At 47.3% G+C, this 14086-nt stretch overlaps 1 annotated feature.

Annotated features, from left to right (window-relative positions):
• Positions 4392-4981: an enhancer, noted in NCBI's record as "NANOG-H3K4me1 hESC enhancer chr6:35723005-35723594 (GRCh37/hg19 assembly coordinates)". NCBI's record gives its function as "activates a minimal SCP1, AML or CMV promoter by ChIP-STARR-seq in naive H9 embryonic stem cells {active_cell/tissue: H9 hESC(naive)}" and the evidence as "EXISTENCE:reporter gene assay evidence [ECO:0000049][PMID:30033119]".

Raw genomic sequence — 14086 nt, forward strand, 5'->3', positions numbered from 1 at the left:
AGAAGACTGTCAAACCAAATATGGTCATCCATTTTCCAATTCCCCATTCATTTGCGTTTCCCAGTTGTTCCTTCATTGTTTTTTTTGTTTTTTTGAGACGGAGTCTCGCTCTGTCGCCAGGCTGGAGTACAGTGGTACAATCTCAGCTCACTGCATCCTCTGCCTCCCGGGTTCAAGCAATTCTCCTGCCTCAGCCTCCCGAGTAGCTGGGACTACAGGAGCGCGCCACAACACCCAGCTAATTTTTTGTATTTTTTAGTAGAGAAGGGGTTTCACCATGTTGGCCAGGATGGTCTCGATCTCCTGACCTCGTGATCCCCCCACCTTGGCCTCCCAAAGTGCTAGGGTTACAGGTGTGAGCCACCACGCCCAGCCCTCATTCACTGTTTTATCTGTGAATCCTTGCTGGGAAACAGTAAGGATTGCTAACGGTTTAAGAAAATGCTACGGGAGAGAAACCTAATGTTGGAGCTATTCCCAGCCTGAGACTGCTCGATCTAGGACAAAGAACCTGGTCCAGCCACGGGCTCCCGGTGTTCTTCAGAAGCAGGATTTGAAAACTAGTCTCGTCCAGGACCAACCCTGGCATTTTCCTGAAAGGAAAACAAACCCAAAATGGAAAAGTGACTTGCTCAAGGTCACATGACTGGTCTAGGGCAGAAATAGGATTAGAACCTCCTACTACTGAGCTTTTCTTTTGCCCTCACATTCTTCGGTCCAAGCCCCGTAAGAGTGGGTCATGGATTCTAAGCCCAAACCTATGGAAACTGAGGAGGATCTTGATGCTTCTGGATTTTAGAGGCCAGTTTAGGACTGAAGTACTTAAAGGAAATCTGTCCCCACTTAATCCCTGGCCCAAGGTCATATCACTCAGGTGGAAGAGGGAGGGTGTTTCTTGATGAGGATGGGCTGATGAGAAAGAGCCAGAGCCTATAGAGAGGCCAACCCCGTCACTGTCTCCCAGAATGAGTGGGCAGTCACTACCAGATCTGAATCAGCATCCCTTGTTTCCCTCCTGAGTTCAGGCCTGAGGCTGCTCCTTCTTGCTGCTGAATACACTGCAGCCACCCCAGTGGAACTTGTCAAATGCCGACGTTTCCTTTCGACCAGCTCCATGTGTGCCCATGTCACCAACAAGGTGTTGGGCATCACTTTCAAATTCTCCTCCCCACCACATCCACCTAGTTCCCCCATTTCCACTGCTACTGCCCTGTCCTCCACATCAGGACTTGCCTACTTCTTTCTTTCTTTCTTTTTTTTTTTTTTTGAGACAGGGTCTCACTCTGTCTCCCAGGCTAAAGTGCAGTGGAGCAAACACAGCTCACTGCAGCCTCGACCTCCCAGGCTCACGTGGTCCTTCCACGTCAGCCTCCTTGGGTAGCTGGGACTACAGGAGTGTGCCACCGCGCCCAGCTAATCTTTTGTATTTTTTTTGTAAAGACGAGGTTTTGCATGTTTCCCAGGCTGGTCTCAAACTCCTGAGCTCAAGCAATCCACCTTCCTCAGCCTCCCAAAGTGTTGGGATTACAGGTGTGAGCCACCACACTGGGCCTGACTTTTCCTCCTCCTGGTTTCCATCCTCTCCAGCCCTACGCACTCCAGGCTAATTTTATAATCACACATGGCACCATTCTCAAAAACCTTCAGGGGCTCCCCATTGCCATGGTGAAATCTTTCTCGGCATCAAAGCAAAGTCACGTGATCTGACAGGTATAAATGTATTCTCAGCAAAAGGTTGAGTTTTGTCCTCAAAGATGTGGTCACTGGACCCCTTTTTTACATGACGAAACCAAATGAATTAGCTTTGCATTCAAGGCTCTTCACAGTGTGATCCTCTTGCCTGCCACAAGCCTACTGTGCCACATCTCTGCTCCAGCCAAACTGGAGCAAACTAGTCATTGCTGCCCTAATCATACCATGTGTACTCTTGCTCCAAACATGTTTTCTTTTTTTTTCTTTAAATTACTATTATAAAGAGAAGATGCCTCCAAACATTTTTTTTTTTTCCTTTTTTTGAGACGGAGTTTTGCTCGTTGCCCAGGTTGGAGTGCAAGGGCGCGATATCTCGGCTCACCGCAACCTCCACCTCCTGGGTTCAAGCGATTCTCCTGCCTCAGTCTCCCAAGTAGCTGGGATTACAGGCATGCGCCACCACCATGCCTGGCTAATTTTGTATTTTTAGTAGAGACGGGGTTTTTCCATGTTGCCCAGGATGGTCTCAAACTCCCGACCTCAGGTGATCTGCCCACCTCGGCCTCCAGAGTGCTGGGATTACAGGCATGAGCCACCGCACCTGGCTTACTTTTGATACAACTTTCCTGCTGCCTAGAATGCTAGAATGGCCTTCCCTCTTCTTCCAACTGGGTTGTGCCTTCTAGTGTCATCAAAGTTGACGTCCCACTGCAGCCTAGATCTTTTTTCAAGCATACTAGCCTCTGGTGCACCCTGCAGCACTTCTCATCTGAACCTCTCACTTGGCATTTGGCAAATTAAAGCTTGAATCTTATATACCTTGTTCTTTTATTCTTTTTTGCAGTAGGACATATGTTTTTTGTTCTTTGTGGTTTTTTTCTTTTGAGATGGAGTCTCACTCTGTCGCCTAGGCTGGAGTGCAGTGGCATGATCTTGGTTCACTGCAACCTCTGCATCCCCAGGTTCAGGAGATTCTCCTGCCTCAGCCTCCTGAGTAACTAGGATTATAGGTGCCCACCACCATGCCCAGCTAATTTTTTTTTTGAGACGGAGTCTTGCTCTATTGTCCAGGCTGGAGTGCAGTGGCACGATCTTGGCTCACTGCAACCTCTGCCTCCCAGGTTCAAGCGATTCTCCTGCCTCAGCCTCCCGAGTAGCTGGGATTATGGACACGCACCATCATGCCTGGCTAAATTTTGTATTTTTAGTAGAGACCAAGTTTCGCCATGTTGGCCAGGCTGGTCTCGAACTCCTGACCTCAAGCGATCTGCCTGCCTCGGCCTCACAAAGTGCTGGGTTTATAGGTTTGAGTCACTGTGCCTGGCCTGCCTGCAGTAGGACATATCTGACTGCTTACCAAAGCCTTGAAGAGCCGGGCGTGGTGGCTCATGCCCTGCACTTTGGGAGGCCGAGACGGGCGGATCACGAGTTCAGGAGATGGAGACCATCCTGGCTAACGTGGTGAAACCCCATCTCTACTAAAAATAAAATACAAAAAATTAGCTGGATGTGGTGGCGGGCGCCTATAGTCCCAAGCTACTCGGGAGGCTGAGGCAGGAGAATGGTGTGAACCCAGTAGGCAGAGCTTGCAGTGAGCGGAGATCGCGCCACTGCATGCCAGCCTGGGCGACAGAGCCAGACACCATCTCAAAAAAAACAAAAACAGAAACAAAAACAAAAAAAACCTTGAAGGAAGAGCCTGCTCAGGGCAGGCACATGATAATGGCAATTGGCTGATGGTAATGAAAGGAATTGGCAGTGGGAAGATCAGATGGGAGTGGTGTATTATCTGCTGCCATGTAACAAATTATGAGAAAACTTGTGTATCAGCTTGGGTCTGATCAAGAGAGAAACCTCACAGTAATTTAACAGGAAATTTTAATATGATTATTAAAACAGGGGATTGGAGTAACAAAGAATTGTTTAGTAAGGAGTTATGAGAACCCTATGGAATAATGAATAGCTGACATGAGGAGCAGCCCCTACCTCCCAAGATACAGCACCCAAGAAAGAGATACCCTCTCCCCACCCAGGGCTGAGATCCAGACCTTGTTGAGTAGAGCACAGCCCACAGCTCACTAGGTGGCAGAAAAGTCACTGTACTGTCATGCCAGTGGAACTTGCCAGAAATATGCCCTCTAGGATGCCAGGGAAAGCTCTTTCCCAAGGAGGTGTGGAACCAGAGACTTTCGACTACAGAACTAACTGAGTGGGGTGTGCAGGGGAAGCTGCTTCCCACTGGGTGCTGCTGGCCTTCATGTGCTGTGGGAGGCGGCACTGGAGTACCTGTGGGTGCTGCAGGAGCCTGATGCGGCAGAAGCCACATGCACGCAGGTGGTATGTGAGGCAGAAGTTGGAGGTATTCTGCTTACACTACAGCCCAAGGTGGACAGTGCCAGGAGAAGCTGCTAGCCACTGGGTGTTGCTGGTTACTCTGGGAACTGGGCACTGAAAGCTGTTTGCAGAGCAGGAGCCTGTCAATCAAGCACACTAGAACCAGGAAGCAAAAACCTCTTCCTCCCAAAATGTCTCTCCAGCTCCCTTCCTCTTAGTCATTTAAATATCAATAAACATATGTTACTTCTCACAGGAATTTGAGAGCATCTTGACTGGGTGGTTCTGGCTCAGTCAAGCTGTGGTTACAGTCACGCTTTTGCCAAGGACTGTTGTTATTTGAAGGCTTGACTGGGGCTGGAGGATCCCCTTCCAAGACAGCGCACTTATGGGACTGACAAGTTGGTGCCAGCTGTTGGCAGGAGGCCTCAGTCTTTCTACACGTGGGCATCTCCACAGGGGTGTTTGAGAGTCTTCATGACATAGCAGCTGGCTTCCCTTATAGTAAATCGTCCAGGAGAGAACAGAGCAGACGCTGCAATGCCTTTTCTGACCTCACCTCAGAAGTCATACACTGTCACTTCTGCCACATTCTATTCATTAGAAGTCAGTCTAGCCCCCATTCAAAGGAAGGCAGTTAGGCTCTACCTATTAAAGGGAAGAATATCAAGGAATGTGTGAGCATTTAAAAACCACTACAGGGACACTGTCAACAAAGACTAATTGGACACCTACTGTGTGCTCAGCAGCTAGATGCATCTGTATCCCCACAGAGACAATCCCTGCCAAGAAGAAGAGAAATTTTATAACCAGTAGTTGACACTCCATCCTTTCCCTCTGTCTTTTTTTCCAGCTGTTTAGCTTGTTTTCTCAACTACAGGCCTCTTTGACCCTCAGGCAATTCTATTTACAAAGAAACATCTCTTCTCATCTTCTCATTTAATTCTAAGGTTTCAGAGAAGAGGAGTGGCTTGAATTGGATCTCCAGAGAGGAGAGAGAAGAGCTCTCCAGGTTGGGATAGTTGGACTTTACAGGAAGGGAAACCAATCAGAGTTTCCCTCTGATGGGATTGTGATGGGGTAGGGTGCTGGTAGATGATTTTGGCCAGGCAGATGGCCAGTTACTTCTCTAACTGATTACCTGAAGGAGATGTATGAGAGACAGACACAAAGGGAACTCCAGCCCCACTGCATGGCTTCCAGTAGGACCTCAACACAGGGTTCTCAAGCAAAACTTGGCTGGAGTCCCCAGGTGTGTCTTAAAACTTAAAGCAGGGGCCGGGTACCTGTAATCCCAGTGCTTTGGGAGGACAGGCAGGGGGATCACTTGAGGCCAGGAGTTCCAGACCAACCTGGGCAACATAGCAAGACCCCCATTTCTTTTCTTTTCTTTTTTTTTTTGAGAAGGAGTTTCACTCTTGTTGCCCAGCCTGGAGTGCAACAGCGCGATCTGGGCTCACCGCAACCTCCGCCTCTCGTGTTCAAGCAATTCTCTTGTGTCTCAGCCTCCTGAGTAGCTGGGATTACAAGCGCCCACCACTACGCCTGGCTAATTTTTGGTATTTTTAGTAGAGACGGGGGTTTCACCATGTTGGCCAGGCTGGTCTCGAACCCCTGACCTGACCTCAGGTGATCCACCTGCCTTGGCCTCCCAAAGTGTTGGGATTACAGGCGTGAGCCACCATGCAAGACCCCCATTTCTTTTTTTGTTTTTTGTTTTTTGTTTTGAGACGGAGTCTCACTCTGTCACCCAGGCTGGAGTGGCACGATCTCGGCTCACTGCAAGCTCTGCCTCCCTGATTTCACGCCATTCTCCTGCCTCAGCCTCCGAGTAGCTGGCACTACAGGCGCCCGCCACAATGCCCAGCTAATTTTTTGTATTTTTAGTAGAGACGGGGTTTCACTGTATTAGCCAGGATGGTCTCGATCTCCTGACCTTGTGATCCGCCCACCTTGGGCTCCCAAAGTGCTGGGATTACAGGCATGAGCCACCACGCCCGGCCGAGATTGGTTTCATTTTTATGAAACAGGAATTTTTTTTATCATCATCAAATACAACCTTTATACATCTCTGATAATAATAAATGGCAAATGTGGTAGGCAGCCTTCTAAAACTATCCCAGTGACCCCCACTTCTTAAATATGTCCTGTTTAATTTGCTGCCCTTGAATCTGAGCTGGACCTAGTAATTTGCTTCTAATCTAGAATATGGCAAAGTGAGAGCATGTTCCTTTTTTCTTTTTTTTTTGAGATGGAGTCTCGCTCTGTCGACCAGGCTGAAGTGCAGTGGCACAATCTCAGCTCACTGCAACCTCCGCCTCCGAGGTTCAAGCAATTCTCCTGCCTCAGCCTCCCAAGTAGCTGGGATTACAGGTGCCTGCCACCATGCCCAGCTAATTTTTTTAAATTTTTAATAGAGACGAGGTTTTGCTATGTTGGCCAGGCTGGTCTCGAACTTCTGATCTCTGGTGATCCGCCTGCATCGGCCTCCCAAAGTGTTGGGATTACAGGCGTGAGCCACTGCGCCCGGGCCGCATGTTACTTTTGAAATTAAATTACAAAAGACTGTGATTCCTCTTGTTCCCATTCTCTCTTGCCCTTTCACATGCTCATGCTGATAAAGGCAGCTGCCAAGTTGTGAGCTTCCTTGTAGACAGGCCTACATGGTAAGGAACCCGGGAAGGACCCAGGCCAACAGACTCTGCAGAGCCAAAGTTGTCAATCCAACAGCTTGTAAGGACCCAAAACCTGCCAACAACCTCTCGAATAAGCCTGGAAGCAAATGCACCCCCCAGTGGAAACTGAAGATGACTGCAACCGCAGCCAGTGTGAGAAACTCAGAGCCAGACTACATGGCTAAGCTGTGATAGATTCCTGACACACAGAAACCATGAGATAAAAAATAATGAGTTAAGCCACTGATATGGTTTGGCTGTGTGTCCCCACCCAAACCTCCTGTCGAACTGTAATTCCCAATGTTGGGGGAGGGACCTGGTGGGAGGTGATTGGATCATGGGGGCAGATCCCCGCTTGCTGTTCTCATGAAAGTGACTGAGTTCTCAATGAGATCCGATGGTTTAAAAGTGTGCGACACTTCCCCCTCTGCTCTCTCTGCCATGGTAAGATGCGCCTGCTTCCCCTTTGCCTTCCGCCATGATTGTAAGTTTCCTGATGCCTCAGCCATGCTTCCTGTACAGGCTGTGGAAGTGTGAATCGACAAACCTCTTTTCTTCATAAATTACCATCTCAGGTAGTTCTTTATAGCAGTGTGAGAACAGACTAATACAGCCACTAAACTTTGGGGGAATTCGTTTATGCAAGAAGGTAATCAATACAACAGGTGATTGTTCCAAGGGTCCAGGCACTGGGTCAGTTCTCTTCTTCCACTCAAGGATGGGAAGAAGAATACTCAATGCTACATTCCAGTGTGAGCCTTTAATGACTGTGACTCCTCCCCACAAGTAACTATGGCCATCTGTGTGTCCTGGAACATGACATGGATTCCTTTGAGAGAAGCAGGAAGGGCATGGAGGGAGCTTCCCCCTCTACAACACCTGCTCCCCCTGAGCCCAAGAATAAACCAAAACCCCAGCCTGGGAGGCCCCCTTTCCTCTCCAATGTCTTCCTTTCCTCAAAATCCCCTTATTGCCCCCGAGTTGCTCAGTCATTGCCACCTTAGAATGTTCTTTCCCATGAGCTGGGCCAAGGAGTCCTACAGTCAAAACTAAGTGATGGCCAGGGACAGTGGCTCATGCCTGTAATCCCAGCACTTTGGGAGGCTGAGGTGGGCAGATTGCTTGAGCTCAGGAGTTTGAGAATAGCCTGGAAACATGGCAAAACCCCACCTCTACCAAAAAAAAAAAAAAAAGAAAAAAGAGAGAAAAATTAGCCAGGCATGATGGCACACGCCTGTAATCCCAGCTACTAGGGAGGCTGAGGTAGGAGGATGGGTTGAGCCAGGAGGTCGAGGCTGCGGTAAGCCATGATTGTGCCACTGCACTCTAGCTGGGGAGACAGAGTGAGATTCTGTCACAAACAAACAAACAAACAAACAAACAAAGTGATGCCTACTTTGGCCGGGCGTTGTGGCTCACGTCTGTAATCCCAGCACTTTGGGAGGCCGAGGCGGGCAGATAACTTGAGGTCAGGAGTTCAAGACCAGCCCGGCCAACATGGGGAAACCCCATCTCTACTAAAAATACAAAAATTAGCCAGGCATGATGGCGCGCATTTGTAGTCCCAGCTACTTGGGGGGCTGAGGCAGGAGAATCACTTGAGCCCAGAGGTTGCAGTGAGCTGAGATCGTTCCACTGCACTCCAGCCTGGGTGACAGAGTGAAACTGTGTCTCAAAAAAAAGCCCAAAAATAAACAACAAAAAAAAGTTTATGTATTTTTTGAGATGCAGTGAGAAGAGGAAATGAAGACAGAGAGAAAGAGAGCTGAGTTCCTGAAGTGGGATTAAATCTCCTGATGTTTCCTTGTTTCTACAGAGAGCACCAGAAGGTCCAGACTATCAGGACAAGCATGAGAATCACAGCTGCTTCTAAGGGAGTGAGCTGATTCCTAAAATTTGACCCATGGGTGGAATCTGGGGGAAGATTCCCCAAGGCCGAAGATACTCCAGGCCACATCACTGGAAAGTGGGGAGGAGGCACTGTGTAATGTATCCTGTCTGCTAACACTGGAAACCATCAAAGCTAACTGCTGAGCATCAGTGACATCCTCTCAGGACACGGTTGGCAAATTTTTGTTGTTTGTAAGAGCTGGAAATGTGGGCCACTGTGTCTGGTACAGCCCTGTCAGTAGGGGTGAGGCAGGATGACAAAGGGAATCTAACTCTTACTGTGGAATCTCTCCATTCGCATATCACCCTGGATACTTGTATTCTGGGGGATGTTGGAGTCAAATATGAGTCTAGGAGACAAAGAGGCCATGGAATAGAGATTTTGTAGTTAAGGAGCATAGAGACAGGACTCTTAGGCATAGGTGGGAGTGTAACTTGTGGAATTAGAAGGCACGCTCCATGCTACCTGTATTAGTTCATTTTCACATTGTTATAAAGAACTACCTGAGACTTATTTATTTATTTATTTATTTATTTATTTGACAGAGTCTTGCTCTGTTGCCAGGCTGGAGTGCAGTGACACGATCTTGGCTCACTGCAACTTCCACCTCCTGGGTACGCTCCTCAGCCTCCCGAGTAGCTGGGACCACAGGCGCCCGCCACCATGTCTGGCTAATTTTTTTGCATTTTAGTAGAGACGGGGTTTCACCATGTTGGCCAGGATGGTCTTGATCTCCTGACCTCATGATCCACCCGTCTCGACCTCCCAAAGTGCTGGGATTACAGGCGTGAGCCACCACGCCCAGCCGAGACTGAGTAATTTATAAAGAAAAGAGGTTTAATTGACTCACAGTTCTGCATGGCTGGGGAGGCCTTGGGAAACTTAGAATCATAACGGAAGGTAAAAGAGAAGTGAGCACCTCCTTCACAAGGCGGCAGGAGAGAGAGAGCGAGGGGGATGTGCTACACTTTTAAACCATCGGATCTCGTGAGAACTCACTCAATAGCACCAGAACAGCATGGGGGAACCTGTCCCCATGATCCAATCACCTCCTACCAGGTCCCTCTTTTGACACGTGGGGATTACAATTTGAGATGAGATTTGAGGGGGGACACAGAGCCATACCATATCACTACCCAAAGCAATCTACAGATTCCATGCAATTATCAAAATACCACTGACACTCTTCACAGAAATAGAAAAACCCTAACATTTGCATAGAATCACAAAAGACCCCGAATAACCAAAGTGTCCTGAGCAAAAAGAACAAAATTGAAGGTATCACATTACCAGACTTCAAAATATACTACAAAGCCATAGTAACAGCATAGTACTGGCATAAAAACAGACATGTAAACCAATGGAACCAAATAGAGACACCAGAAATTAATTCATGTATCTACAGCCAACTGTTTTGTTTTTGAGACAGGGTCTCACTCTGTCACCTAGGCTGGAGTGCAGTGGTGCAATTATGGCTCACTGCAGCCTCAAACTCCTGGGATCAAGCGATCCTCCTGCCTTAGTCCCAAGTAGTAGTATCTACAGGTGTGACCACCATGCTTGGCTAATTTTTTTTTTTTTAATGGAGGTAGGGTCTCACTATGTTGCCCAGCTGGTCTCAAGCTCCTGAGCTCAAGCGATCCTCTTGCCTTAGCCTCCCAAACTGCTGGGATTATAGGTGTGAGCCACTGCACCTGGCCAGCCAATTGGTTTTTGATAAAGGTGCCAAGAACACTCATTGAGGAAAGGACCATCTCTTCAATAGATGGTGCTGAGAAAACTGGATATTCAAATGTAGAAGAATGAAACCCCCACCTTTCATCCTATATAAAAATCAACTTAGGTCAGGCACGATGGCTCATGCCTGTAATCCCAGCACTTTGGGAGGCCGAGGCGGACGGAGCACCTGAGGTTGGGAGTTTGAGACCAGCCTGACCAACATGCAGAAACCCTGTCTCTACTAAAAATATGAAATTAGCCAGGTATGGTGGCACATGCCTGTAATCCCAGCTACTCAGGAGGCTGAGGCAGGAGAATCACTTGAACCCAGGAGGCAGAGGTTACGGTGAGCTGAGATCGCACCATTGCACTCTAGCCTGGGCAACAAGAGTGAAACTCCGTCTCAAAAAAGAAAAAAAAAAAAATCAACTCAAAATGGATCAAAGATCTAAATGGAAGACCTGAAACTATAAAACAACTAGAAGAAAACATAGGGGAAACACTTCAGGACATTGGTCTGGGAAAATATTTTATGAATAAGACCTCAAAAGAACAGGAAACAGAAGGGAAAATAAACAAGTGGGATTAAATAAAACAGGTCAGGCACAGTGGTTCACACCTGTAATCCCAGCACTTTGGGAGACCGAGGCAGGCAGACCATGAGGTCACGAGTTCGAGACCAGCCTGACCAACATGGTGAAACCCCGTCTCTACTAAAAATACAAAAATTAGCCAGGTGTGGTGATGTGTGCCTGTAATCCCAGCTACTTGGGAGGCTGAGGCAGGAGAATCGCTTGATCCCAGGAGGCAGAGGTTGCAGTAAACTGAGATTACGCCACTGCACTCCAGCCTGGGTGACAGAGCAAGGCTCCGTCTCAAAAACAAAACAAAGCAAAACAAAACCAGCTTCTACACCACAAAGAAAACAACAGAGTGAAAAGACAACCTACAGAATGGGAGAAAATATTTGCAAAGTACTCATTTAACAGGGGATTAATATCCCGTATATACAAGGAACTCAATCATCTCTACAGCAAAAAAACAAAAACAAAAACAAACCAAAAAAACCCCACAAAAAACAAAAAACAAACAATTTGATTTAAAAAATGGGCAAATGGGCTGGGCACAATGGCTCACACCTGTAATCCCAGCACTTTGGGAGGCCAAAGAGGGTGGATCACTTGATGTCAGGAGTTCAAGGCAAGCCTGGCCAATATGGTGAAACCCCGTCTCTACTAAAAATACAAAAAAAATTAACCGGGCGTGGTGGTGCACACTTGTAGTCCCAGCTACTCAGGAGGCTGAGGTGGGAGAATCGCTTGAACCCGGGAGGTGGAGGTTGCAGTAAGCCAAGATCACACAACTGCACTCCAGCCTGGGTGATAGAGTGAGATTTTGTCTCAAGAAAAGAATTCCAGGCCAGGTGCAGTGGCTCACGCCTGTAATCCCAGCACTTTAGAAGGCTGAGGTGGGCAGATCACGAGGTCAGGAAATCAAAACCATCCTGGTTAACACGGTGAAACCCCGTCTCTACTTAAAAATACAAAAAATTAGCCAGGCATGGTGGCAGGCGCCTGTAGTCCCAGCTACTTGGGAGGCTGAGGAAGGAGAATGGCGTGAACCCAGGAGGCAGAGCTTACAGTGAGCCGAGATTGTGCCACTGCACTCCAGCCTGGGTGACAGAGCAAGACTCTGTCTCAAAAAAAAAAAAAAAGAAAAGAAAAGAAAAAGAATTCCATTGTACGAATGTACCATGATTTATTTAACCAGTTGGCAGACCTTAAGTTATTTATGATCATTACAAATGATGCTGCAAGGAACTATATATTGGCATATATGGGAATATTTCTGTAGGAAAAATTCCTAGAAGTGGAATTATTAGATCAAAGAGGTGTATTAGTTATTGCCAAATTTCCCTTTTAAGAAGTTTCATCAATCTTTGCTCTTACCAATAATATTTTCCCACACCTTGACCAACCCACTGTATTACAAAACTGTAGCAGTCTTTTAGGAAGAAAATGATACGTCTTTCTGACAGGTATGATCTCGGTTTACATTTCTCTTATCACAACTTAGGTCAGAAGGCATGAGATTAGACAGAGTGAGACTTTTGTCTCAAAAAAAAAAACACACACACACAAACAAACAAACAAACAAAAAAAACGGCTAATGACCTAAACAGACATTTCTCAAAAGAAGACATACAAATGGCCAAGAATTATATGAAGAAAATGCTCACCATCACTAATCATCAGGGAATTGCACATTTTGATAATAGGATGCCTATTATCAAAAAGGCAAAAAATAAATGCTGACAGGGATGTGGAGGAAAAGGAACTCATACACACTATTGGTGGGAATGTACACTAGTACAGCCACTATGCAGAACAGTATGTAGGTATGTGAACCTCAAATATCTGAGACAGCTCTCAGTTTATTTAGAAAGTTTATTTTGCTAATGTTGAGGATGTGCACCTGTGACACAGCCTCAGGAGGTCCTGATCACATGTGCCCAAGGTGGTCAGAGCACAGCTCGGTTTTACACATTTTAGGGAGATAAGAGACATCAATCAACATATGTAAGATGAACATTGGTTCTGTCTGGAAAGGTGAGACAACTCGAAGTGGGGAGGGAGCTTCCAGCTCATAGGTAGACAAGACACAAATGATTGCAATTCTTTTGAGTTTCTGATTAGCCTCTCCAAAGGAGGCAATCACATATGCATTTATCTCAGTGAGCAGAGGGATGACTTTGAATAGAATGGGAGGCAGCTTTACTCTACGCAGTTCCCAGCGTGACTTTTCCCTTTAGCTTAGTGATTTTGGGGCAGCAAATTTATTTTCCTTTCACAGGTACCACAGAAAACTACAAGCAGAACTACCATATGATCCAGCAGTTTCACTGCTGAGCATTTATCCAAAGGAAAGGAAATCAGTATGGAAGAGACGTCTTCACTCTCATGTTTATTGCAGCACTATTCACAATAGCCAAGATAGTGAATCGACCTACATGTCCAACAGCAGATGAATGGGTAGAGAAAATGTGGTATAGGGCCAGGCACAGTGGTTCATACCTGTAATCCCAGCTCTTTGGGAGGCAGAAGCAGGAAGATCCCTTGAAGCTAAGAGTTTGAGACCAGACTAGGCGTGGTGGCTCATGCCTGCAATCCTAGTGATACAGCTCCCATGACTGGAGAAACACCAGGGTTCTTTCTCTCTCGCTGATTAGATAAACGACACGGGCACACGTGGAGTTGTTTTAAGGGGCGGAAAGTTTAATAGGCAAGAAAGAAGAAAGAAAGAAGAAAACGGCTCCCCCGTACAGAGGGAGCGGGGCTCCAAACGGACAAACCCCGTGTGCGCGGAAAGTAGTCCTTTATATTGGGAGGCTGGAGGAGGCAGTGTCTGATTTGCATAGGGCCCAGGGGATTGGTTTGACCAGGTGTGTCATTCACATAGCCTGCGAAAAACCTGGTCCTCCCACCTTAGCCTTTTAATATGCAAATGCAGGTATCCTTGATGTCCTGCATTCTTAGAGCCATCTGGAGGTGGTCACGACACCTGACACACGTTGGGACAAGGAGAAGAGGGCGGGAATCGCTACGTTGGATGGACCTAGTTTCTGACAGCCTGTGTTTGCATATCAAAGCTTGCCAGCCTGCTTTTCTGTTAGAAAAGAAATGTTGCCGCCGGGCCCGGTGGCTCACGCCTATAATCCCAAAGCTTTGGGAGGCCGAGGCGGACGGGGCGGATCACGAGGTCAGGAGTTTGAGAC

The sequence above is a fragment of the Homo sapiens genome, chromosome 6 (assembly GCF_000001405.40).
Source record: "Homo sapiens chromosome 6, GRCh38.p14 Primary Assembly".
Classification (NCBI taxonomy): Eukaryota; Metazoa; Chordata; class Mammalia; order Primates; family Hominidae; genus Homo; species Homo sapiens.